This window comes from Homo sapiens, chromosome 8 (genome assembly GCF_000001405.40).
Source record: "Homo sapiens chromosome 8, GRCh38.p14 Primary Assembly".
NCBI lineage: Eukaryota > Metazoa > Chordata > Mammalia > Primates > Hominidae > Homo > Homo sapiens.
The window spans coordinates 142,822,221-142,849,167 of NC_000008.11; the positions used below are offsets into that span (position 1 = coordinate 142,822,221).

The 26,947-nt window shown below is 47.3% G+C and overlaps 1 protein-coding gene across 1 annotated transcript; it reads left to right on the top strand.

Moving 5' to 3' along the window:
• Positions 1-12,580: 12,580 nt before the first annotated feature.
• GML (glycosylphosphatidylinositol anchored molecule like) lies at positions 12,581-24,631 on the top strand. The gene is made up of 4 exons (NM_002066.3): positions 12,581-12,648; positions 18,196-18,290; positions 18,898-19,005; positions 24,175-24,631. Exons 2-4 carry the CDS (start codon positions 18,218-18,220, stop codon positions 24,468-24,470), a joined length of 477 nt encoding a protein of 158 aa, NP_002057.1. The 5' UTR covers positions 12,581-12,648; positions 18,196-18,217; the 3' UTR covers positions 24,471-24,631.
• The last annotated feature ends 2,316 nt before the right edge of the window (positions 24,632-26,947 follow it).

Consider the following 26,947-nt stretch of genomic DNA (forward strand, 5'->3'; position numbering starts at 1 on the left):
CTGGGCAGCCAACCTTGGCAATACTCATGCAGATCTAATGAAACCATGCCCACAGACACCATCTGTGCCCCTGCCTGGCTACCTCATGCCTGTGCCTGGTTGGAGGCTGCACATCTTTGGCTGGGGTTTGCTCTTGGCCTGGATTCCATTTTCTCCCAGCAAGGTAGGTGTGTAGAGGGGGTGTTTTTCTAGCACTGATGCAGTGGCTGGCATGTTTCTTCATACATGGCATGTGGCATTAGCAATTTAAATCTCCACCTCTGGGTGTGATTTTTAGCATTAAAATGAGGAAGGGGTAACTCCAGGTTGAAATTTAGGTCTAACTACACATGTGGGGCTTCAGGGAAGTCCCTAGCCCCCTGCTTCAGGGGGCTGATTGGCTGAAAGTTAGGTGAGCTAGAGCTTGAGTAAGGGGCTTTGTTTTTCTCCCCTAGGCCAGATCACCACAGGAAGCCAGCCAGCCTGCTTCATTCCCCCTGAGAGATTTCATCTTCATTTTAAGGGGTTTTGGGCAAAGGTCTCTTCTTCTGGAGCTACTTCCTGCTGAGGCGAGTGTCATTCCTATATCCTTTACCTTTACCTGAGAGGAATGGAACTCCTTTCAGCTTAAGGGGACAATCTGCTAGGGCTGAGGGCTTCTGGAACACACTGGAAGCACTGCACGGTCAGTAACATTGTTGCAATCTAGAAGACAAAAGTTTTCCCAGGAAGTTAAACAAGCATGGTCCAAAAATCAAAAGAAGGATAGCCGCTGATGGTCCTAAGGAAGGAAGAAACCAACTTGTAGAGAGAGAGGTGATGAGGCAGCATTCGGAACTGACTCCTCTGCTGGGCTCCCTTTACCAGAGAGTGTGGCCACATTGTCTGATTGTAGATTGCTTGGATGTTCACCTCTGCTTGCCCTGTAGTATTTATCTAAGCATGGCAGGAGGTGTTGGTGACTATGCATACACCTCCTTGTTCTGCCGTTAGGTAATCAAGGGCCAATGGTTACCCAACACCACGTTATCGAGAGAACTGAGGGAGGGCTTCACACCTTCTAGAGCCTGCCCAGTCTGATCCACTACATGACCAATCTGCCATGTCAGGCCTCCCCAAGGGGCTGGTAGACCAATAGTCAGGCCTATTCCCACTGGCACCATGCCAAGGCCTTACCTTGCTCAGACAGTGGCCTGATGTTGGGAGGTGCAGTTGTGGTTACTCCGTTTATCCCCATCGATCCCAAGGCACATTCACCTGTGAATCACACATTGGCTCTGCAGGAATAGGCCTGAGCCAACAGAGGAAAAGTATAAGGAAAGCAGGCAGTGGACCACAGGAGGTTATTAGGGTGGCCTCGAGGGAAAACAATTCCAAGAGGAGCCCAAATTCGAATGTCCCTGGTGTCATTGAGAATGGAGAGGTTCAGGTTATGAATTGTGCAGCTGGGGGTATCAAGCCAGGGTCCTGATGATGGTCTGCATATCCCCTGGTGTCATTGAGAATGGAGAGTTCAGGTTATGAAATGTGCAGTTGGGGGTATCAAGCCAGGGTCCTGAAGATAGTCTGCATATCCCCTGGTATATATCATTTATATAAGGATGTTACTTAACTATTGCTGTCTTCCAGAGGCAGCTTCTTGAACAAATACTTGAGGTCCTCTATAGGTTTATGGGAGTAGACTGTTTTCTCCAAGCAGGCCTGTCGTCCATCAGGAGAAGCAAAAGGTTTTATTCTAGAGACAAGTCCTTCCAACTGTACAGCTGATGGAGTGGCCAAGGAAACCTGGTATGGACCCTTTCATTTCTCAGTGAACTGAGCCTCTGGGCTTCCTTTTCGCCATGTCTTGAGTAGGACCTGTGCACCTGGGCTAGCAGGGAAATGATCTGAAACTCCATGACCCGGCTGAGGTCACATCTTATTATCATATTGGAAGATGGCCTGCTGAACTTGTCCCAAGTTAATGATGTATTTTACAGCCTGATTTAACTCTTCGTCTAGAAGAAAGTGGCTAGGAAGAGGCTAGCAATAAGAGGAGTGGGTTGGGATCCTGTTGGCATCCTATGTCACGCTTAGACAACGATGCTCGCCTAGAAACTCAGGTTAGAGGCTCGGCCCACAAGGTTAGATGCCCTGGGGTATATCTGGAACAATGGAATCTCTTTGCAAGATGTTTGTCAGTGTGTGATCTGAACTAATCCACCTTGTGCCCTCTGCTGGGGATGGGAAAGCTCTACTTCTCATCATTTCCCAGCTCATTGCTTTGCTGTACAGCAGCCTTGGGGCAGCCCCGAATGGCTGGTCCAGAGGTTTCCACCTTCCAGTGGTGGATTCTAATGTTCTTTATGTGTTTCTCTCTGTTCTTCTCTGCCTGCTTTGGATCGGCTGTTACTAAGCTGCTGCCGAGTGGCAACTCTGCTTATCTCACGGTGTTGAGGTGAGACTCACTGCTTTTGGTATTACTGATTCAAGGCTACTTAGAGATTGTCTTTTCTTGTACAGTTCAGCCAGTTCTGGCTAAAATGTATACATTAAAAACTCATTTAAAACTGAAGAAAAAAGTGATGAAAAGGTTTTTTTTTTTTTCTTAAAACCAAACTTCCTTAAAGACTACTTTACCAAAACTTTGGTCCACAGCTTTCCTTGGATTGCTTGTATGTCTGGGTCAATTAAGAAAAGTTTATGCTCTGGGAAACATGTTTCTAGAATTGCGGGTCTTATCTATAAAGTGCTAACATCTGGCAAACAGTGTAGGATCTCTTGCTTCCTCGGTTTTCAGACTCACAGATGAATGAGTGCCCTTAGCTGTCCCTTCCCATCCCTTCCCATCCCTTCCCGCTCCGGTTTCCTGTATGCAATGTGCTCAGCCTTCCGAGCCCTGGGAGAAGCAGGGATTCTCATGCTTCTTTATGTTCCCCTAGGGACTAGGGGTTAGCAGTCCTCACCCCAATGTGTGAGGTCCTTTGGGCTCTATCTGCTGGGGAGCCTGGAGCCAGGGATCCTCCAGGTCAGCCACTACCCGGTTGCATGGGGCTTTTCGGCCTTTAGGGGCCCAGGGTTGCAGTGACACCCCAATGGAGAGCCTGTTTGAGTCTCAGAGGGATATTTGCCAGCACATACTGCTAGGTCCCTCTTGTCCCCTTTGTCAGCTGTGTATTTGCTGTCTGTGCCTCATTAGTGACATCTGTCATCCTGAGCTTGCATGCTCTGAAGTTTACACCTGCCATTTTCCTTCTGGTCCTGGTGATTTTCATTCTTTGGGCTATTTAATTTGGCATCTCTCTGGGCAATGTTGGAGGCCAAAAGCCTCCCAGGAACTAGTCTTATTGAGAAGAAAAATAATTTTGTCTAATTCAGAAGTTATCTAAAGGTCAATTCAAATGATGAACTTGAAAACAGTTACTTACAAAACAAGTTAGAAAAGAGCCAGTAAGTAGGGGAGCGAGAGATGTGAATAAAAGTTATGAATATGAAGATGTATTTTTGGTAAGGAAGGTTATCAAGAAAAGAGAATAACGTTGTATGAAAAAGGATCTTGTATGGTAAATTTTTGTCCTAAAATAAAATGGCTGATTATTTAGGAAAGAGGGAAAGTTTGGGCAAGGCAGAAAGTCCAAGCATGTCTTCAATGATCTGTGTATGTCAGGGTCAAGTTCATGAAGGGGAATTTATGAAAGAAATTTCGTATGTAATTAAGTTGGTTATTATTAAAAGGAAGCCACTTATAATAGTCTTTCTAAAAATTGGTCTCCTATGTTAAAACAAAATGTTCTTAAGGCACTGATTTGCTCTTAATGACATTACAAGAAATTTTACTTTCACTTTTTTTTTGTTTGTTTTGTTTTTTTGAGATGGAGTCTTGCTCTGTCGCCCAGGCTGGAGTGCAGTGGCGCAATCTCGGCTCACTGCAAGCTCCGCCTCCCGGGTTCACACCATTCTCCCGCCTCAGCCTCACGAGTAGCTGGGACTGCAGGAACCCGCCACCACACCTGGCTAATTTTTTGTATTTTTAGTAGAGACAGCGTTTCACCATGTTAACCAGGATGGTCTCAATCTCCTGACTTCCTGATCCACCTGCCTCGGCCTCCCAAAGTGCTGGAATTACAGGCATGAGCCACCACATCTGGCCAACTTTCACTTTTATAAACTGTTTCTCTCGAAAACTTCTCTTTTTTTTTAAATTTTTTTAGTATTTATTGATCATTCTTGGGTGTTTCTCGGAGAGGGGGATTTGGCAGGGTCATAGGACAATAGTGGAGAGAAGGTCAGCAGATAAACATGTGAACAAAGGTCTCTGGTTTTCCTAGGCAGAGGACCCTGCGGCCTTCCGCAGTGTTTGTGTCCCTGGGTACTTGAGATTAGGGAGTGGTGATGACTCTTAACGAGCATGCTGCCTTCAAGCATCTGTTTAACAAAGCACATCTTGCACCGCCCTTAATCCATTTAACCCTGAGTGGACACAGCACATGTTTCAGAGAGCACGGGGTTAGGGGTAAGGTTATAGATTAGCAGCATCCCAAGGCAGAAGGATTTTTCTTAGTACAGAACAAAATGGAGTCTCCTATGTCTACTTCTTTCTACACAGACACAGTAACAATCTGATCTCTCTTTCTTTTCCCCACATTTCCCCCTTTTCTATTCGACAAAACCGCCATCGTCATCATGGCCCGTTCTCAATGAGCTGTTGGGTACACCTCCCAGAGGGGATGGTGGCCGGGCAGAGGGGCCCCTCACTTCCCAGAAGTGGCGGCCGGGCAGAGGGGCCCCCCACCTCCCAGACGGGGTGGCTGCCGGGCGGGGGCGCCCCCCACCTCCCAGACGGGGTGGCCGGGCAGAGACGCTCCTCACTTCCCAGACGGGGCAGCTGCCGGGAGGAGGGGCTCCTCGCTTCTCAGACGGGGCAGCCGGGCAGAGGAGCTCCTCAGTTCCCAGACGGGGTGGTGGCCAGGTAGAGACGCTCTTCACTTCCCAGACAGGGCGGCCGGGCAGAGGCGCTCCTCACATCCCAGACGGGGCAGCTGGGCAGAGGTGCTCCCCACATCCCAGAAGATGGGTGGCCAGGCAGAGATGCTCCTCACTTCCTAGATGGGACGACGGCAGGGAAGAGGCGCTCCTCACTTCCCAGACTGGGCGGCCGGGCAGAGGGGCTCCTCACATCCCAGACGATGGGCGGCCAGGCAGAGACGCTCCTCACTTCCTAGACGGGGTGGCGGCCGGGCAGAGGCTGCAATCTCAGCACTTTGGGAGACCAAGGCAGGTGGCTGGGAGGTGGAGGTTGTAGCGAGCCGAGATCACGCACTGCACTCCAGCCTGGGCAACATTGAGCACTGAGTGAGCGAGACTCTGTCTGCAATCCCGGCACCTCGGGAGGCTGAGGCAGGCAGATCACTCGAGGTCAGGAGCTGGAGACCAGCCCGGCCAATAGGGCGAAACCCCGTCTCCACCAAAAAAATACAAAAACCAGTCAGGCGTGGTGGCGCGCGCCTGCAATCCCAGGCACTCGGCAGGCTGAGGCAGGAGAATCAGGCAGGGAGGTTGCAGTGAGCCGAGATCGCGGCAGTACAGTCCAGCCTTGGCAACAGAGGGAGACCGTTGAAAGCGGGAGACGGAGACGAGGGAGAGGGGGAGACCGTGGAAAGCGGGAGATGGAGACGACGGAGAGGGAGAGGGAGAAGGAGAGGCAGAGGCTCAAAACTTCTCAGATCCATATTTCAGTATTTCAGACATTCCATTTTTTCTGTCTCACTGCTTTCAGCTTTTTCCCCCTTGAGCAGGCCTGAGATGATGACCTTCTCCTTCAGCATTTTTTTGTCGGCTCCTGCACCCCTTTTTTCCTCCAGTTTTAACTGTTGGAATGACCTGATGCTAATGTTTTATCTTGAAGGTCTAGAAAAGCAATGTTTTCTTCTAGTATAAGTTGATTTTATATTCTTGGCTTTTCTTGCTGTGTCTAAATTTTCAGTGTAATCAGAAAACTTCTCATGCTGTTCCTAAGGGTCACATATGCTCATAACCTTAAACACTGTTCCTGTGTCTGATTGCATTCAAGCACTTCTTTCCTCAAGTTTGTCTTCCAGGTTATCTAAATGGGCTTCCTGTAAGAAGCAGCGGTCTCACTGCAGAAGGTTTTCTCTGCCTTTTTATCAGCTGGCTTTACTTTTTTTTTTTTTTTTTTGCAACTGGGTCTCACTTTGTTGCCTAGGCTGGAGTGCAGTGACACAATCTCAGCTCACTGCAACCTCTGCCTCCCGGGTTCAAGCCATTCTCTTGTCTCAGCCTCCCCAGTAGCTGGGACTACAGGCACCTACCACCATGCTCAGCTAATTTTTGTATTTTTTTGGTAGAAATGGGGTTTCACCATGTTGGCCAGTCTGGTCTTTAACTCCTGACCTCAAGTGATCTGCCCACCTCGGCCTCCCAAATTTCTGGGATTACAGGTGTAAGCCACCACACCCAGCCTATCAGCTGGCTTTTTTTAAAAATGCAAGATTTTATATTTTATCAAGATAATTCTTATGCTGTCTTTATTAGGTTTTCTATTGAAAAAAAAAACCCTGAAATTTAAAAGGCTTAAGGTTTTTACATCCATATGACTTTCTGTATTGCTCGTAATGTCTTCTTTATTATTACTCTTGGTTAAATGTGTGGGGAAAAGAAAGAGAGATCAGACTGTTACTGTGTCTATGTAGAAAGAAGTAGACATAAGAAGCTCCATTTTGTTCTGTACTAAGAAATATTCTTCTGCCTTGAGATGCTGTTAATCTGCAACCCTACCCCCAACCCTGTGCTCACAGAGACATGTGCTGTATCGACTCAAGGTTTAATGGATTTAGGGTGCAGGATGTGCTTTGTTAAACAAGTGCTTGAAGGCAGTTTGCTTGTTAAAAGTCATCACCACTCTCTAATCTCAAGTACCCAGGGACACAATACACTGCGGAAGGCCGCAGGGACCTCTGCCGAGGAAAACCAGGTATTGTCCAGGGTTTCTCCCCATGTGATAATCTGAGATATTGCCTCGTGGGAAGGGAAAGACCTGACCGTCCCCCAGCCCGACACCCATAAAGGGTCTGTGCTGAGGAGGATTAGTAAAAGAGGAAGGCCTCTTTGCAGCTGAGATAAGAGGAAGGCATCTGTCTCCTGCTCGTCCCTGGGCAATGGAAGGTCTCGGTGTAAAACCCGATTGTATGTTCCACCTACTGAGATCGGAGAAAACCGCCTTAAGGCAGGAGGTGAGACATGCTGGCAGCAATACTGCTCTTTAATGCACTGAGATGTTTATGTATGTGCACATCAAAGAACAGCACCTATTCTTAAACTTGTTTATGACACAGAGACATTTGTTCACATGTTTTCCTGCTGACCCTCTCCCCATTATCGCCCTATTGTCCTGCCACATCCCCCTCTCCGAGATGGTAGAGATAATGGTCAATAAATACTGAGGGAAGTCAGAGACCGCAGGTGCGGGTCCTCCTTATGCTAAGCGCCGGTCCCCTGGGCCCATTATTGTTTCTCTATACTTTGTCTCTGTGTCTCTTTCTTTTCTCAGTCTCTCATCCCATGTGACGAGAAACACCCACAGGTGTGGAGGGGCAGGCCACCCCTTCAAAATGAATAACTGTTACAATGACCTGTGATTCTGTTTTGATCAAATGTTTTGAGCCTTTTAACATCTTTAACAAATATTCTCAAAATCAAAATCCTAAATTAAGTCTCCGATTTAGTGTCCTCGCTGGGGCTTATTAAACCTATAAAAATTAATCTCTGTGAGGTTATAAAATCTTTGTATAGCTTCCAGGTAGACCATGAACTCCAGTATCACCACCTCCAGCCTGATAATTATATATTGGAAGAAAATTAGTTAAAGGATTCCCTTCAGCCCCCTTGAAACTGCCCTTATCAGGAGTTGTTAGCTAATCCTTGTGCTCAGTTAATAACCTGTTGCAGGCCCTTGACTCCTGGGCACACATGTCTAAAGAAGGCACTGACTTCCACCAGTATCTGACAAAAACTCAAGTTAACTGAAGGCTCGTCTTTAGACCTGGGCAAAGGGGACAACGTAAACTGCTTTCATGAGACACAAGGACAGGCCTGTATTCCAAAACATTATGATTCATTTCATAATTTTGCCTTTATCTGAAATAATATAATTTGTTCTATGCCTTTATACTAAATAATTTAAATGTTTAACTTATTTCCTGGCATTCTCAAAATTAGATAGGGCTTATGACCTTTTCTTTAAAATGTTGTTAATTCTTTATGTTTTCTTTTACCTCCAAAATTTACTCCCACCAGGCCCAGGGAGTGTCATAAGTGTTTTCAGGGCCAGTTTTGAGGAATAAAATGAGTGCAAACCTTCCAAATAAAGGACAGGCACACAAATGCCTAAATGGCTGAACAAAGTGCTTGTGTTTTGTGTAGCTAATTGCCGCAAACCATGATGACAGTAGCTCATACACAGAATGTATAAAGAAGCCAATTTTGTAACCTTGCCTTTTGGCTTTTGATTTTTGGTTCTCATGTTGCTGAAGGGGGTTTAAGATTAATGAGTGCCTGCCCACCTACATTCCCATCTGGCCTAGAGTACTTCATTGGCTCTAAGTCTTTTGACTCAAAGTCCCTTGGCCACAGGAATTCCACCAAGGGGCATGATGGACCCAGGGCAGGTTGCCCACCACTCCCACTCCAGTGTCCACATGGGACAAAATAGAAGCATGGCTGTTGACACTGCCTCTGGCATACCTTGACAAAAAAGGAGGAAAATAAACGTAAATAAATAAATAAAATCCTAAGCACCCCCATCCCCAGCAGAATGGGGCCCCCTTAGGCCAAAAACCTGAAAAACTAGTTTAGGCCAGGAGGGGAAGTGGAGCTGGTAGTCAGAGGGCGGGGAAGGCATGGACAAGCCTCACTATACCTTTCCCCCACCTTGGAATTCAGGCACAACTGACCAGCATTAAAATTAAAAGAGGTCATAAGACTGACAAAACAGACTGGATCGAAGACCCTGCCAGGCAGGGATGAAGTTTGCACCCCAGGGTAGACAGAGGTGTAAGTTACAGGAACGTTTTAAAATATGTTTGCGTCAGGACCACCTTCATGAATATTCATAGCTCCTCTGTTCAACCAGAAGACTTCATCTTATTAAAAACCTGGAAAGAAGGATCCTCTGAGGATCAGTTACAGCCAAGATGGAGGGGCTCATCAGGTATTGTTAAGCACCCCCATTGCCGTTAAACTTCAAGGACTCACTAGCTGGATACACCTGTCTAAGATTAAGCCCGTTTCTTATGAGTCCCCACAGGCACCTGAGAAAGACACTATGGCCAACACCTGTGAACTCTTAGAATACCTAAAGCTGTTGTTTTGGAAATAAACAGATAACTAGCATCCTTAGTCCCTCCCTCCTACTCAGCCTCCTTAACAACTCTCATCCCATACAGGTTTGCACCCCCAGTGGATACCTATGGTCATGTGGTCACCTATTCAATCAGCATATAAATAGCTTATCTCTCATTTGGGACCATGAACTCAATGGTTACCAGCATATTGATAACATTTGGTTCAGGGGTCAATGTACAACACCCTATAATGTACAATTATATACCATCACTTACCTGAGAGCTAAGTGGGCAATTCGCCTTATATTGGCTGGGGTTGAGGCTGCCATTGGCTTACCCACCCCATGGGGAAAATTTGCCTATTATGAGGCAACTCTTCAAAACTTTACTTCTTCATTCTACGCACTGTCTCATAAAACAGGAGACACTTTAGAAACATTAAAACTCTCCCTTGATTCCTTTGCAGATATAATAATTGATGACAGATTAGCACGAGAGTATTATACTTATTGGTTGAACAAGGAGTATGCACTATAAGTAATAAAACCTGCTGCACTTACGTAAACACCTCAGGTCAAATAGAAGAAGATGAACGTAAAATATATGAGCGAGCTGCCCAGTTGCATAAATACAACCAAGGCTGTGATCCTAACTATAGCTGGTCAACAATAAAAAGCACCCTCCTGAGTCTCACTTGGTTTTTGCCCTTCCTAGGACCTTTGATATTTATCTCATTATTAGTAATCTTTCGCCTTTGCTTGTTTAACTTAATGGTAAAGTTTGTGTCTTCTAGATTACAACAATTCCACATAAAGATTATTCTGGCAACCCATCCCGTCTTCTGACCTTGGAAATAAAGACATCCTGCCTCAGGCCCCTTAGATCAGGCATCCAGAGATTTTTACACCTCCAATACTAGGCAAAGCATAAGCCCATAGAATCATCAGTCAGGCTGGAGTTAGAACGTATATGACTATGTGATCGTAAACCCCAGACACAAAAACCACTTGCAAGTGGTCATGAGTCATCCTCACCCTGGGAAGCGAACAGAAACCATCACTGGAGGGGGACATACCCTCCACTCAGACCCCCAGCCTCTGGTTTACTAATGACAAATACAGATATGCCACAGATAACCAGAGGCACAGAAGTGATTAAGCCCCCAGGAGCAAAGGCAGAAGAAACAAAGTCTCCAAGTTAGACTCCCAAGGAATTCCCATATAGGAATGATTGGAGGCAAATGTAAACATACAGCCTTGAAAAGTCAGGAAAAAATCAGGTCACTTCCACTTCTACATGGGATGCAGTAGGTTGTGGCTGCTCAGAATGTGACAACCGGGCAAATCAATCCACAGAGTTAAAAGTCACATTTGAAAGGCCCTTGGACAGATGTGGAAGCACCAAGGCCTGCATGAACTGAAATTCCGCAGAGGGCGAGCCCTTCCCAGGGTACCCTTTGTCATTGCAGATACATTTGTCACTTTGGGCACCAGCTGAAAGCCAGGCTGGCTACAGACAGGGACTCCGGTAGGGAATGCAAACCAGAGTGCCGTCTTGGCTCACGGGGAACCAAAGTGGCCCAGAATCTCCAGGTACCTAAAGATCAAGACAGTTTTCCCATGGAAGAGCCTCCAAGTGCTGTGGTGGGAGGGACCCTGGGGAGTCAGAGAAGGCCAAGTAGAATCCCCCCCAGTGTGGCAGATCCCAGGAGACAGAGTGCCCCTAGAAGGAGCCTGCCACAGTCATACCACTGGTCTCCATCATAAGCCAGTGGCCCCGATGGAACAGGTGTGTGGGATGAGGTTCAAGGGGAAAGTCAAAGCCTAGAAAGGGAAACCCGTCCGAGCTGAGGATTCGGTGTGAAAGGTGAGCATACAAATTGGGTCACCCTTGTCACACCCAACTAAGGCAGAGTGCCAGGTAGGGAGACCATTCAGCACTCAGGATAGAAAACATTGCTCCAAGAATGTACTTCTCTGAGGCCTGACTGCTGAAACTGTCTGCGGTAACCTGAAACCAGTTTTATCTGATGGCTACTGAGACCACCTGCTGCAACTCTAAGCCTCGGTTCACCCACTGCCGTCACTGATTCACTCATCAACCAGAGCTTGCCAGCTCCCCAAAATCCTACTAGTGCCAATGAAACTCAGACAGCAATATGTACTATTTCTCTTCTTTATAAAAAAGAGACATAGTTCCTTTTTTTTTGAGACAGAGACTTGATTTGTCCTGCAGGTTGGAGCACAATGGCACGATCTCGGCTCACTACAACCTCCACCTCCTGGGATCAAGGGATTCTCCTGCCTCAGCCTCCTGAGTAGCTGGGACTACAGGCACACACCACCACACCCAGCTAATTTTTGTATTTTTAGTAGAGACGGGGTTTCACCATGTTGATCACTCTGGTCTTGAACTCCTGACCTCAAATGATCTGCCCGCCTCAGCCTCCCAAAATGCTGGGATTACAGGTGTAAGCCACCGCGAATTTAAAAAAGCCTTTTCTTTGTTCTTTGGACATACTGAAGGCCAGCCAGTCTGCCCCCGTGCCCCTAATTGCAGTTATTTCCTCCCAAATAAAACATTTCAATTTCAGAAATTCACCTATTTTATATGACTTCGACAAGAGCCAAGCCACACTGTGTAGGAGATGCTCGGGTGAAGCCAGCTGTCCCTGGCCACACACAGCTTGAAGGCAAAATGGCAGGAGCTCAAGCGAAAGCCAGGCAGGTCTCCCCCTGAAACCTCTGCACAGGTGGGCGCTGGCGGGGCTGAAGGGCAAGGGCACCGCTCAAGCTGGCTTTGGTCAGGGTTAGGGACAGGGCCGGCTCCAGAGGCGACGGGGTCGCACCCTGAGCGGAGGGGCTCCCGGGGTCCCCAGGGGTTATGGTGATGGCGGGACCCCCTAGAGGGAGGGTCCAGGAACGAGGCAGGTGGACTGGGACCTTGAGGGCAGGGTGGGCCTGGGCGGTGCCAACAGGCTGCCGAGGGTGGCTGCTGTCCCGTTTCTCCAGCAGCCAGGGCCGTGCGCTTCTAGAACATTCCCCGTGGCTTTCCTAAAGGGAGCGTGGATGGAGCCAGGGTGTGCAGATTTCTGTGAGAAATATTTTCACCTGGGAGCCCCAAGGGGGACCCTGCCCACCTTTGAACACTGGCAGATGGGCTGGAGGCCTGGAGCCTGGGGACGGGGCTTTGAGGGTCCGGAAGGAGGGCGGGGCTGTGCGGCCGGCGGAGGCCCCCGAAAGTTCCAGAAAGCGGGTGGGGAGGTCGGCGCGGGAGGCTCAGATGGCTGGAGGCGGCGGGCACGCACACTGCGGGGCTCCGAGGGGCACAGGTCAGTTTCCTGAGGCGGGTCGGGACCCAGGCGTGAGACTGGAGTCTGCCCAGGGGCCCAGCTGAGGCAGCCTCCTCGTCAGCTGCTTGGGCCGCCAGGACGCCGCCGGGGGTGCGCCGCGCTTCCCTGGATGGGGTGCCCCCACTCCCCTCGGAGCCCCAGGGAGACCCCCCGAACTCAGCTCCTCTCAGGGGTGCCAGGGGGACCCCTCAAAACTCCACTCCCCGCAGGTTCCTGGGGAGACGCCCCCTGCTCCATTCCCCTCAGGGTCCCAGGGAGACCCCCTAATTCAGCTCCTCTCAGGGGTACTGGGGGACCTCTCGAGCTCCACTCCCATCAGGGTCCCAGGGAGACCCCCCAACTATGCTCAGGGGTCCCAGGGAGATGCCAGCACCCCAACTCCGCTTCCCTGGGGCCCCCCTCCCCTTACAGCTCAACTTCCCTCGAGAGTCTGGGGCTGGGGCTCCGTTCAGTTCTTGAGTCCCCTTCCCTCGGGGTGTCCCGGGGCCGCCCACCCCCACACTGTCTGTGATTCCCCAAGGCGCGGGTCTCGGGCCGCAGCCTGTTCCACGTTCTGCTGCTCGTTCTTTTCTGGCTCCTTGCTTTCGAAGGAGAGAAGGAGGCCTTCGTTTCCAGTCTTTTTGCCTTTTCTAATGGAGCCCTGCTTTTCCTTCCGTGTCCCTTCAGGCTACTTCTGCCAGGTTTCTATTTTTCATTCTTTATTATGACTTTGCCCAAAATATTCTTGACTTCTATTGAGAAGGATTTGGGGGTCTATTTCTTATTTGGAGGTGTGTTCTTAAGTTCCAAACAGATGAGGATTTTCCAGTTAATCCTTCTGGGGTGACTTATTGCTTAATGCCACCATAGTCAGAAAATGGACTCTCAGTGTCCGAAACTGCATTCGGCTCTGAAGTGTCTGTCCTTGTCACCTCTTGCAATGTTTTTTGCCTGGAAGCCTGCACTCGCCGACGCTGACGTAACTGTTTCTGCCTTTCAGTTCTACAGCCTCCTTTGCTTTGTGATATTGTCATATACTTTATTTCTATATATGTTATGAACTCAATATTTCTTGTAGTGGGTCTGCTGATAATAAGATATTCCTACTCTTTTTGTCTGAAGCCATCTTAAGCTTACCCTGTATTTGCCCCATGCATCTCTTCCGTTTCACGGTTCCTGAGTTGTCACCTTTGTGATAAACTGGTAATAGTAAGTAAACTGTTTTCTTGTGCTCTGTAAGCTGTTCTAGCAAATTATCTAGGAGGAGGTGGTCTTGGAAACCCTTGATTTATAACTGGGCAGTCAGAAGTACACGTGGCCCAGACTTGTGATTGGCATCTGAAGTGGGGGCATTAGGGTGGGACTGAGCCCTTCACCTGTGGGGTCTGCCCTGCTCAAGGCAGTGTCAGAATTGAATTGAAATGTTGGACGGTCAGTGTCCAGAGAGTTGGAGAACTGGTTTGTGTGTAAAAACTCACATATTTAGGGTCAGAAGTATGGTGGTGTAGAAATAATTCATACTATAGTCCCTTATTTCTGCCTCTTACACATCCTGTTATTTTTAAAATTTTTTCATCTTTAAAAAATCAATTTAGTAATCTTTTTCTCTTTAATGCTCTCATTAGAATTTTTAAAGTACTTGTATGCTAATGTCAACATTTGAGTGAACTGTGGGTTTATTTCTATTGTTGTTTTATTGATTAGCAATAATTTATTCCTAATTCTTACATATCCTGTGATGTTTTTATTGAACATCTTGCGTTGCGTACAAAATAGCTGGAAAGCTTGGAGGTGGTTGTATGTTACTACTGGGGATGTGTGCCCTCTCCTCTCTCCAGGAGCCTGTGGGAAGGCCTGGACTACTGGCTTGCTCAAAGGTGGAGGCCAAGTGGGATGCTTGCAGCTTCAACCTGACCCTGGCTGCCTCTGGAGCCGGCCCTGTCTCTAACCCTAACTGAAGCCATCTTGAGCGGTGCCCTTCCCCTTCTCCTACAGAGTGTGGCTTGTCTCGTGTTGAAGTCAAATAAAATAGATGACTTTCTGAAATTGAAATCTTTTCTTTCGGAGGAAATAATTGTAATTAGGGGCATGGGGGTAGACGGGCTGGCATTCAGTATGTCCAAAGAACAAAGAGAAGGATTTTTAAAATTTGCAGTGGCTCACACCTGTAATCCCAGCACTTTGGGAGGCTGAGGCAGGCAGATCACTTGAGGTCAGGAGTTCAAGACCAGCGTGGCCAACATAGTGAAACCCCGTCTCTACTAAAAATACAAAAATTAGCTGGGCGTAGTGGCGTGCGCCCATAGTCCCAGCTACTCAGGAGGCTGAGGCAGGAGAACTGCTTGAACCCTGGAGGTGGAGGTTGTAGTGAGCCGAGATCACGCCATTGCACTCCAACTCCAACCTGCAGGACAGAGCGAGACTCTGTTTCAAAAAAAGAAACTATGTCTCTTTTTTATAAAGAAGAGAAATAGTACATATTGCTGTCTGAGTTTCATTGGCACTAGTAGGATTTTGGGGAGCTGGCAAGCTCTGGTTGATGAGTGAATCAGTGACAGCAGTGGGTGAACCGAGGCTTAGAGTTGCAGCAGGTGGTCTCAGTAGCCATCAGATAAAACTGGTTTCAGGTTACCGCAGGCAGTTTCAGCAGTCAGGCCTCAGAGAAGTACATTCTTGGAGCAATGTTTTCTATCCTGAGTGCTGAATGGTCTCCCTACCTGGCACTCTGCCTTAGTTGGGTGTGACAAGGGTGACCCAATTTGTATGCTCACCTTTCACACCGAATCCTCAGCTCGGACAGGTTTCCCTGTCTAGGCTTTGACTTTCCCCTTGAACCTCATCCCACACACCTGTTCCATCGGGGCCACTGGCTTATGATGGAGACCAGTGGTATGACTGTGGCAGGCTCCTTCTAGGGGCACTCTGTCTCCTGGGATCTGCCACACTGGGGGGGATTCTACTTGGCCTTCTCTGACTCCCCAGGGTCCCTCCCACCACAGCACTTGGAGGCTCTTCCATGGGAAAACTGTCTTGATCTTTAGGTACCTGGAGATTCTGGGCCACTTTGGTTCCCCGTGAGCCAAGACGGCACTCTGGTTTGCATTCCCTACTGGAGTCCCTGTCTGTAGCCAGCCTGGCTTTCAGCTGGTGCCCAAAGTGACAAATGTATTTGCAATGACAAAGGGTACCCTGGGAAGGGCTCGCCCTCTTCGGAATTTCAGTTTACGTGGGCCTTGGTGCTTCCACATCTGTCCAAGGGCCTTTCAAATGTGACTTTTAACTCTGTGGATTGATTTGCCTGGTTGTCACATTCTGAGCAGCCACAACCTACTGCATCCCATGTAGAAGTGGAAGTGACCTGATTTTTTCCTGACTTTTCAAGGCTGTATGTTTACATTTGCCTCCAATCATTCCTATATGGGAATTCCTTGGGAGTCTAACTTGGAGATTTTGTTTCTTCTGCCTTTGCTCCTGGGGGCTTAATCACTTCTGTGCCTCTGGTTATCTGTGGCACATTTGTATTTGTCATTAGTCAACCGGAGACTCGGGGTCTGAGTGGAGGGTATGTCCCCCTCCAGTGATGGTTTCTGTTGGCTTCCCAGGGTGAGGATGACTCATGACCACTTGCAAGTGGTTTTTGTGTCTGGGGTTTATGATCACACAGTCATACACGTTCTAACTCCAGACTGACTGTTGAGAAAGCCTCTGGGTAAGGAATTCCTGGGAAACACACTGTTTTCATGCATCCTCTGGAAGATGAGGCCTGAAGTTACCAGGGTCTCTGTTTGCTGATGCTGATGATCCACATTTTCTAGCCCACTCTGCTTCTCTGACACCTTTAGTCTTGAGGATCCATGCTCTGTGAAGGAATCCAAGCTCTCATTTCGCACTCACCTTGGCCCTGGCTCTGTCTCCAGGACCTCTTCTACTACAAAATCCTAAAGCTCTGGGAGCTGGGTGTCAACCTGTGCCCGAGGAAATCATACAGTTACTGTGGACTTTCCAGTTTGCTGTCTTCTAGTATTCCATTGTAGCTCTTGGGTATTTTCCCATCCACCCCAAGATCCAGCTGGAAATCAGTGAACACACTTGATGGGAGTTTTCCTGCATGTGCTCTGGGCATTGACAGTAGAAGGGTGTTCAGAATGTCTGCTGTGCCCTCATGGAGGAAGAGGGCCTCAGTGTACATGCTCTGGGTCAGTAGGTGCCCTTGAGCCCAGCTTTGGGAGCAAGTGTTGGATGAGTGAAGGAGGCATCCAGGGAAAGCAGGCACGACAGAGTGGAGACGGGGCTGCTGGGTCTCAGGGGAATGGGCATGGAGTGGGTAGGAGATCCACCTAGGGAGGCTGGCTGGCTGGACGAGTCAGGAGCCCCTTCCAAGGGTGGACACTGACAGGCCCCCAGTCTTGGTCTCCTGCATGCCAGAGGTACCAGCCCATCTTTTTTCCTAAACTTGATGACCTAGGGCTAGGGGCATTTTGAATCTCAGCCTCGCCCACTGGCGCTGGACTTGGTACACAGGGTGGGGCAAAGTGGGTACTGGATCCTGATCATCCCTATCCCTGGGGTGTGGCTTCTTGCTGCACAGTCAGCTTCTAGTTCTGTAGCCCCAGCTGCTCCTGCGGTGGAGGGAGCTACACATCAGGCTCTGACCCCCTCCAGGTGGGGCCTTCGCGTGAGGGGAGTCAGCACGCATCAGCAGCTGGGCCCAGGGAGTTGCCCCACTGAGCACTGCGGGCTGACCTGCTCCCAACCAGGGAGATGGAGCTTCCCCCTTGAGTCGGGCTGCTGAAGGGGGGTAGGGGATGGAGACAGTGCGTTTGCAGGAGTAAGGGTGCAGTTGGGTCCCTGCGAGAAAATGTCTCAGTTGTGGCAACTGATTGGTGACCTGGGGGGCGTTTCTGAGCCCACAGTGCTGGCATCAGGACTCAGGTGTGAGGTGCCCCAGACCCTCCCCTTGCCAGTAATTAGCTGATGGCTCGGTGATGCCCAGGGTGAAGGAAGACTTGATTTTGGGAGGGGAGTTCTCTCGTAATGACACTGAGGATGCCTTCAAGTTGGGCTTCTGGCATGTTCTGCCCTCGCTCCCCTTCTGTAGTCACCTTGGCCCTCGTGTTGCTGAGCTGTGTGTGGGAGCGGGAAGCGCGTCAGTGGGCGGAGGGAGCGGGAAGCGCGTCAGTGGGCGGAGTATTTGAGAACATTTCACAAGCCGCTGTTGAGGTTCAGAATCAACCAGCAGATACAGAAACATATTTCGGAGCGTGGGGACCCTTGGGTGAGCTGCCACATGAAGCAGCCCCAGGACCTCCCTGGCTCAAGGAGTGACAGCGAGTTTGTCTGAGGTGAGGGCACAGGCCTGGCGAAGCCTCGTGTGTGGGTGAGACCTGCCCGACCCCAGTGCCTTACCCGAGGAGCTACTGGCCCAGTGGGGGAGGCATTCAGGTGGGCAGAGTCAGGGAGACTCATGAGGCCGTTGAGGCCAGGGGCATAGAGCTGGCCAAGGAGCCATGGCTCACTAACGTGTTGTATGGGGCTCCTTCCCTTCAGGTCCAGGCTCCTGCGTGAAGTGATGCTCCTCTTTGCCTTACTCCTAGCCATGGAGCTCCCATTGGTGGCAGCCAGTGCCACCATGCGCGCTCAGTGTAAGTATCATTCCCTCTCACTGTCCTGGAGAGGACGAGAATTCACCTGGGGTGCTGGGGGTCACTGGGATGATTGGCTGCAACGTGGAGCAAGCCTCCGTTAGCTGGGGCCTGCATTGTCTGTGTAATCAGGGGTGGGCACTAGGGCAGTCCAGGAGTAGTCATGAGCAAGGAGAGGGTTAGGATGAAGGAGCAGCTGACCAGGGACCAAGGGGGAACCTTGATGTGGCCCTTCTCCATCAGCGCCAGGCAGGAGGGGCTCTGTCCAGGGAAACCCAGGAGGATGGCGGACCCCTGTGAGTATCCAGTCTTCCTTGGCGAGGTGAGCCAGGTCTGCAGAGCATAGCAATCCCGTATGTGACCACCAGTGGCGCTCTCTGGAGCCTGCGTTGGAGAGCAGGGAAAGCTCTCCTTGTGCCTGGCCTCCCTCCCAGGAGCTAGCCTGGGCCAGACTCAGACTGCATAGAGAGCTGAGCTGTGCAGGCTAGGAGAAGTCCTTGGAAGCAGAGGGGAAGGGCTGGCCGTTGAAGAAGGGTGGAGTGAGCTGGTAATGGGTGGAAAAGGCGTAGTGGAGCAGAAGCCTGAAGCCTGCTTTCTCCCCTCTCAGGGACTTACAGTTTGAGATGCCATGACTGTGCGGTCATAAATGACTTCAACTGTCCCAACATTAGAGTATGTCCGTATCATATTAGGCGCTGTATGACAATCTCCATTCGTAAGTACCTCTTTGTCATTTTGACACATTGTAGATTAGTCCCCTACCTGGGTAGTTTCTGGGGCCAGGGCCAGTCTGCTTTCTTCTCTGCACCCAGCTCTGTTTCCCCTTCCCTCATGTCCTCCCATCCTGAGTGCGTTTCTGCACGCTTTGGTCTCAGCCTCATGATAGGCCAGCATGCATCATCTTGTAGAGCCAGGTACTCTGCAAAGTAGTACAATCTGTCCACACATCTGCAGCGTCTCCAGGGGGTAGGAGCATTGCTGGACCTCAGAGCCTCTACTGTCCCTGGTTGTGTGTGTAGACACCCCATGCTGCCTGGGTGAGTCCTCACTGGCCATTCAATTTCTGGTAGTCTAGAGAGTGCTTCCAGCTCGGCAGGTCAAAGCAGTGGATGGGCCATGGACTCCCCCCAGGGAAAAACCTACCACACACAGATGGGAAGGACAAGCATGAGGTCAGGGCACAGCCTGCACTTCCAGGATGCTCTTGCTTTTTCCTCAGAGCCCTCTGGTGCCCTCTCTCCCCAGGGCCCTAACCTGCAGAAGATGTATGGCCAGAGGCCCAGTGACCAATGGAGCAAGCAGGGAGGGTGCAGCCAGTGTATGCCCTGGCGCACAGGTGGAGCCTCGTCTGGGGCTCTGCTCAGGGCCTTTCCTGTAGCCCTTTTGTCCCCGGTGTCTGTGGTTGTGCTTGCAACTTCACATGTCATTCTGTGTTCTAAGCTTTGTGCAAAAATAATCCCCTGATTACCACCTCGGTGTGGTTTGGCTATGTCCCCACCCAGATCTCATCTTGAATTGTAACTCCCATAATCCCCGTGTGTCATGGGAGGGACCTGGTGGGAGGTAATTGAATCATGTGGGTGGTTACCCTCATGATGTTCTCGTGATAGTGAGTTCCCACAAGATCTGATGGTTTTATAAGGAGCTTTTCCCCGGCACTTCTCCTTCCTGCCATCATTTGAAGCATGTGTTTGCTACCCCTTCTGCTGTCATTGTAAGTTTCCTGAGGCCTCCCCAGCCACGCGGAACTGTGAGTCAGTTAAACCTCTTTCCTTTATAAATTGCCCAGTCTCGGGCAGTTCTTTATAGCAGCGTGAGAAGAGACTCATACACACCTCTTCTTCAGACCAACTGCTGATTTGGGACATGGGCAGGAGGCTGAGAATCTGGGCTTTGTCTCCACAGTGGCCACTGCTGGGGACCTTGATGGCATGGTTTTGTCATGTTGGGATTACTGCCTCTAAATGAGGCTGAGAACTATCTTTCCCATAACTCCCTCGTGGGGTAATAGTTGGCAAAAAGAGGAACTTGAGTGAGATTCGCAAGGTATGGGTGAAGCAGAGATCACTCTTCTGGAAGGTCACGATGGTTTAGTGAAGTGAAGGACACTGGTGGACTCCAATCTGTCCTCCTTCATGTCCACCCCATCTTCTCCACTTTTGAGCCTTTGACTGAAAGCAATTCTAAGACTCCAGCAGGCATTTGGCCACTGGCCTGCCTAGGTGATGGGTACTCCAGTGGCGCAGTTTAAATGTCTCTGCAAGAGACTCCTCTGCACAGCCTTACTTGAGAGGATAACGGTGCATGGCCTTTGATATTGCCCTGCAGAGTTGGGCTGTTCCAGCCTGCCCCAGTGTAAGTGACCTAGCTCTGGACTGTTGTTCCTCTGATCTTCAGCCTTACCTGACTGACTTCCTTTCTTGGCTCCCCCATGGTCATGGCAGCTGCAACACTTTTATTTAATAACTTAGACCTAGACTGTTTTAGAGGCTCCATTTTCCTGAATGAACCCTGATGGATATTAGGACAAAGAAATTGGGAATGCTGGAATGCTGGGACATTTTTCCTTTCAGGAGATTTGCTGATTTCTGGGGCTGTGCAGGATGGTAAGCAAAAGACCTCTATGGAAAGAAACGCAGGCAGTGTCCTGAGACAAGGGGCCTGGGTATGAGGCATATAGGAACTCTGCACTATCTCTGCAACTTTTCTGAAAACCTAAAACTATTTTTAAAATAAAAGGTTCATACACACACACACACACACACACACACACACACACACACACACACCATAACCCCACTACCTTGTGGATTCAATAACAGAATTGCAATGTGGTTTACAATTTGAAACCCATCAGTTTAATTCACCATATTAACAAAGAAAAGGGCAGAGATGATTGTAGATGCTGAAATGTTTTGATAAAATCCAACACCCTTTCCAAATCTCTGAGGGAAATGTCTACCATCACCACTTCTATTCCCAATGGAACTGGAGTTGTTAGGTAGTTCAGTTAGGCAAGAGGAAGTATTAAGTCTCATGGAGAGGAGAAAGAAAGAATTTAAACTGCTTACTATTCATCAGAGACAACAAACTTCAAATAACAAATATCTTTAGGAAAGATCCTGGATACAAGATAAGTATTCAAAAATCAGTTTACAAAATCAGTTGTCCTTTTGTACATCAAGAAACAGATTGAAAATGAAATCCAAGGAATGGTGCTCTTTAAAGTATCACAAAATCAAGTACCACAAATCTAACTGGATTTGTGCAAGATTTCAACACTCAAACTGCAAGAACACTATTGAAGACTTAAAACACCATTAAAGACTTAAACACATGGAATTGTACACTATACTTATGGATCATGAGAATCAAAAGAGTAAGGATATCTCTTCTCCAATTAACCTACAAATCCAAAAGAATTTCAGTCAAAGTCTCAGCAGGGGTATGTTTGTGTTTTGACAAGTTGGTGCCGAATGCTTTTTGAAAATATGAAGGGCTAGGAATAACCAAAGCAGTCTTGGGGAAAAAGAAAAAAGCTCGAGGACTTGTGCTCTGAACTATCAAACCGTTTCCTTAATCAAAACGGTTTGGTGTTGGATCCTGTGGTCAGGATTGAAAAATAACAACATTAGAAGAGAAATAATTCAGAAAAAGCCACATACTTCTGGTTTCTTGATCTCTGACAAAGTTGACCCTGCAGTGCAGTAGGTAAAGACACTTCTCTGCGCTGAGCAGTAGTGGATATGTTAGATATTTATACACAATATCTGCACCATATAAAAGAAGCAGTTTCAGGTGGTTTGTAGATCTCAATGTAAATATTAAACCAATAAAGTTTTTAGAGAAAAATGTAAAATGCTGTATTTATGACTTTTAGGAATTAAGAATTTAAAAAATCGAACAAAATAGTGCTAGTCACATAAGAATGAAATTGATAGGTTGAATTACCTTTAACTTCAAAACTTCTGTTCCTAAGAAGATACCTGTGAAATAGTATAACCGCAAGCCACGGATGAGGAGAAAGCATTTCAAAACATGTATTTACTAAAGTACTTGTGTTCATAATATAATGAACTTATTCCTATGAATTAATAAAAAACTGATCAATGGAAATTTAAACAAAAGGTTTAAAGGGAATTTGCCAGAAAATGGTGTCTGAATGTGTAACATACATAAGAAAAGTTGTTCACTGTCGTTCTTCTTGAAAGAAATGCAGCTTAAAACCACAACACAATAACACCACAGGAAATGACTCAGTATCCTAAAGTGATCATAACAAGTGTTGTCAGGGTTCTGAACTGTGCACAATCCCTCAGACTATAGATAAGTTCAACCCAGTGTAGAAAACTCTTCGATGTTGTCGGCTAAAGCTGCGTATCAAACACTGAGACTCAGCGCTTCTACTCCTAGGTACATAGCTAATTATAAAAAAGCTTATACAGGCTCACCTTAAGGCAAATACAAGACAAGAGTATTCATTGCAGCACTATTTGGAGTAGACAAAAACCAGAAACAACCTCAATGTCCATCAACAATAAATTGTGGTATGTTCACCAATGTAATGCTATGCAATTTTGAGAATGAACAATATACAACAGTGTGCAACAATAGGGATAAATTTCATAAACACAGATTAGAGCAAAAGAAGCCATCCACAAAAGCAGATGTAATGTATAATTTCATTTCATAAAGTTCAAAACCAAACAGAACTAACCTATAGGTTTAGAAGCCCATACATTTCCTGTCTTTGGCCTGGGCTGCTCACAGCAGTGTCTGCATGGAGGAACAGAGTGAAGAATCCTGGGGCTCTCTTGCAGCTCTGTTTCTGATGCTGCATGCTGAGTACTGGCTGTGGGCACTTGGTGACAATCCATTGAGTTGTGGACTTATGGTCAGGCACATTTCTGTAGAATGGTGAACTCCAATAAACTTTTTAAATGGAAAATAACAGAAAACAAGTGACTGGTTCGTATTCATCATTTGTTTCTGGTGTTATAGAGGAGACAAGACCCAGAGCCATGAATAGATAAATCAATTATGGTAAGTTCCAGAATAAAGTATTTGTGTAAACACTGGATAGACTTCAAGGGGAACAGAAGTAGTGATGAGGGCCAAGGTATTTAACCCTGGGATTCTTGAAGGAGGTGTTAGATGGAGCTTTGGTCAGGTGGCATTGGTCAGCTGAGGCCACTGGACAAGCCCTCTAGTGAAGATTATTGATCACATTAGTCGTGATCACATTAGTTGCGATCGATAACCTTCACCAGAGGGCTTGTCCATCGGATAACACGTACCTAGTTGGAAAGGTGCATCAAGTCTGTACTGGGGAGGAGGTTGGCACCAAGGGTCAAGAGCATTTATATGTTGGTCCAGGAGACTGAAACACCAGGCTGAGGGTCCCAGGAAGGAGTTTACCCTAGAAGGGTCTTGCCAACTGCAGAAAATCTAGTTAAGGCTACATTAATATGGACACCTCTGTTAAAGGTCCATGTGATCTCTAGACCATAAGTGAAACATGATTTCTGGTCTGCATTTAATTTCTCGGGCTCTAGAATTCTTACCATAAGAAATGAACAGGACATTTCATTGCGTGTAGCTACATGACAAGGTACCATGATACCATTTTGGGAGGGCCAGAGGCCTAAAGATGGCAGCTTAGATAGAAAACTATCTCCAGAAGAAGTTGTTCTGGGAGTGATGAGACCCGCTAGTGGACTTGGATGTTCTCTCTTAGTCAAGTGTTCTAGACAATTTTATCACAGCTGGGAGTGTAGAATGTGTACATGGAGCTAATTATGGTTGAATGTGAGGTGTATGTGCCTCAATATTTACAAGCAGAAAATGTGAAATCAATTATTTTCATTGCTGCTTCTTTTTTTAGGCATAAATTCTCGTGAACTACTTGTTTATAAGAACTGTACAAACAACTGCACATTTGTATATGCAGCTGAACAGCCTCCTGAAGCCCCAGGAAAAATCTTCAAAACTAATAGCTTCTACTGGGTTTGTTGTTGTAATAGCATGGTTTGCAATGCAGGAGGACCTACTAATCTTGAAAGGGACATGTTACCCGATGAAGTAACTGAGGAGGAGCTTCCAGAAGGAACTGTGAGGCTGGGGGTATCAAAACTGTTGCTGAGTTTTGCCTCTATCATAGTCAGCAATATATTGCCATGAGGACCCCACCTTGGAGGGTCTGACCATCTTCACCTGTTCCGCAGAGAAATGTTGCTCTCCATTATTCCCTTCTAAGCCAGAGACCCTTATCCACTGCTCCTCTAGGTGGCCCATTTATGGTTTGTTGTAAGAGAAAAATTAAAAAAATATTGTTTAGTGGAGATGTTCATGAGCATTTGTTTGCCTGCATGTACTTGAGCACTCATAGTGGAGTCTCTATTCATATCTGTTCTTCCCTCCCTTGCTCTGTATTCAGGGATTACTTTGTGGTTTTATTATAATCAGTTGCTGTAGCTATTAATTGATTTTGGTAGTTTTGTCTTTGTGCTTCATACTAAAGTTATGAGTGGGTTGCACACTGCAGTTATAGCATTGCAATATTTTGGTTTGTCTGTGTACTTAATTTTACCCTAGGTTTTATACTTTCAGATGTTTTCTTTTTATACGTGAGTGTTTTTTTCTTTCAGTTTGAAGAGCTCCCTTTAGCATTTCTTGTAAGACAGATGTGGTGGTGGTGAATTCTCTCAGCTTTTGTTTGGGAGAGACTTTATTTCTCCTTCATATTTGAAGTTCAGTTTTGCTGGATACATTATTCTTGGATGACAGTTGAGGATTTTTTTTTTCTGTTCAACACTTTCAAAATGTCATACCACTCACTCCTGGCCTGTTGAGTTTCCCTTAAGAATTCTGTTGCCAGATGAACTGGAGCTCCTTTACATGTCTGCCTATTTTCTCTTGCCACTTTTAGGGTCCTCTTTTTGTCCTTGACCTTTAAGAGTTTGATTATTATATGTGTCAGGGTAGTCCTATTTGGGTCAGATCTCTTTGGTGTTCTCTAACTTTCCTGTATCTGAATATTTATCTCTTCTTCAAGTTTTGGAAATTTTTCTGTTATTATTTTTTGAACAGCTTCCTACCCCTGGTGCTTGCTTAACTCCCTCTTAAACACCAGTAATTCTTAGATTTGGTCTTTTGAGGTAATTTTCTATATCTTATAGGTTATCGTCATTCCTTTTCATTCTTCTCTCTTTTTTCTCCTTTGTGTACTTTCAAATAGCTGTCTTCAGGTTCATTGATTCTTACCTCTGCTTTATTTATTTTGCTGTTGAAAGCCTGTAATGAATTTTTCAGTTCAGCAAATATATCTCTCATTTCCAAGGTTTCTATTTGACTTTTTAGATTATTTCAATGTCTTCGTTAATTATTTCTCCTAAATTTCTGAATTGCTTTTCTTTGTTATCTTGGAGATCACTGAGTTTCCTTAAAACTACTATTTTGAATTCTTGGTCAGAGAATTCACATATTGCTCTCTCTTTAGGGTCAGTTACTGGTTCCTTGCCTTGTTCGGTTGGGGAGGTCATGGCTCCCTGTTTGCTGTTGTTTCTTGTGAATGTATGTCTGTGTCCTTGCACAGAAGAATTATGTATTTATTTCAGACTTCTCTGTCTGGCTTCTTTTTGTTTCTTTGTTTTTTTGTTTGTGGGTGTGTGTGTGTGTGTGTGTGTGTGTGTGTGTGTGTGTGTTAAGACAGGGTCTCACTCTGTCACCCAGGCTGGAATGTAGTGGTGATTGTGGCTCACTGCAACTCCACATTCCAGGCTCAGGTGATCCTGCTACCTCAGTCTCCTGAGTAGTTCAGACCAGCTAATTTTTATATTTTTTTGTAGAGATGAGGTTTTGCTGTGTTGCCCAAGCTGCTTTCAAACTCCTGGGCTCAAGTGATCTTCCCACCTCGACCTCCCAAAGTGCTGGGATTGCAGGTGTGAGCCACCACACCCAGCCTGGTTTTTACTGGATATGTTTCATTAGAGATTTTTGTAATTTATCTGTTTCTTTCCTTTTTCTTTTTTCCTGCTAGGTTGCCGCCTCCTTTTCTGCACTAGATGGCAACTTAAGCCCAACTTTGCCTTGGTTCTAGTCAACAGTAGAGTACTGCCAGTCCCAAAGAGAGAGGCCCCAAGGGGATATCCCGGTCATGTGGGAAGGCTGACCAGGGCTGCATGCCTGGGGGCCTGTGGGACTTACTTCCTACAGCATGGCACTGTGAACAGCCACCCTGATTTACTGTCTCCTTTGGCTGAGTTACACAGCAGAGTTTTCAAGGGTGGGATGGGAGTCCCATTTCCCCTTTTGTCTCTGACTTTCCTCAGAAATATTTTTCCCTTCAGGCACTCCTGATGATACCTCTGGGTTGAAGCAGGGGCAGGTCTCCTGCCAGGAAACCCAACATGGGAAGGAAGCTGGTTGTCTGCCTCCATGTCACTTTGTCCAGTGTAGAAACTGTGAGTCAGGGGGAAATGTTCTGCACATTTGGTGCTGAGCAGACTGGGAAGAGGGGCATTGTGGGCATGTAAATCCCATTTTCTTACATCTGCTGTAGGAGTTTTTTTACTTTTCTGTGGCCCCAGGAACTATCTCATCCTTATATTTGAGTCCTGGGATATTGCTGGTGATAATCTCAGTGCTGTGTATTTGGT

Excerpts from the sequence above, each read along its gene's own strand:
- GML (NM_002066.3), top strand. The coding sequence starts at position 18,218 with ATGCTCCTCTTTGCCTTACTCCTAGCCATGGAGCTCCCATTGGTGGCA. Across the intron at positions 18,291-18,897 it reads TGCCACCATGCGCGCTCAGT|GGACTTACAGTTTGAGATGC; the intron begins GTAAGTATCATT and ends CTCCCCTCTCAG. Across the intron at positions 19,006-24,174 it reads CTGTATGACAATCTCCATTC|GCATAAATTCTCGTGAACTA; the intron begins GTAAGTACCTCT and ends TTCTTTTTTTAG.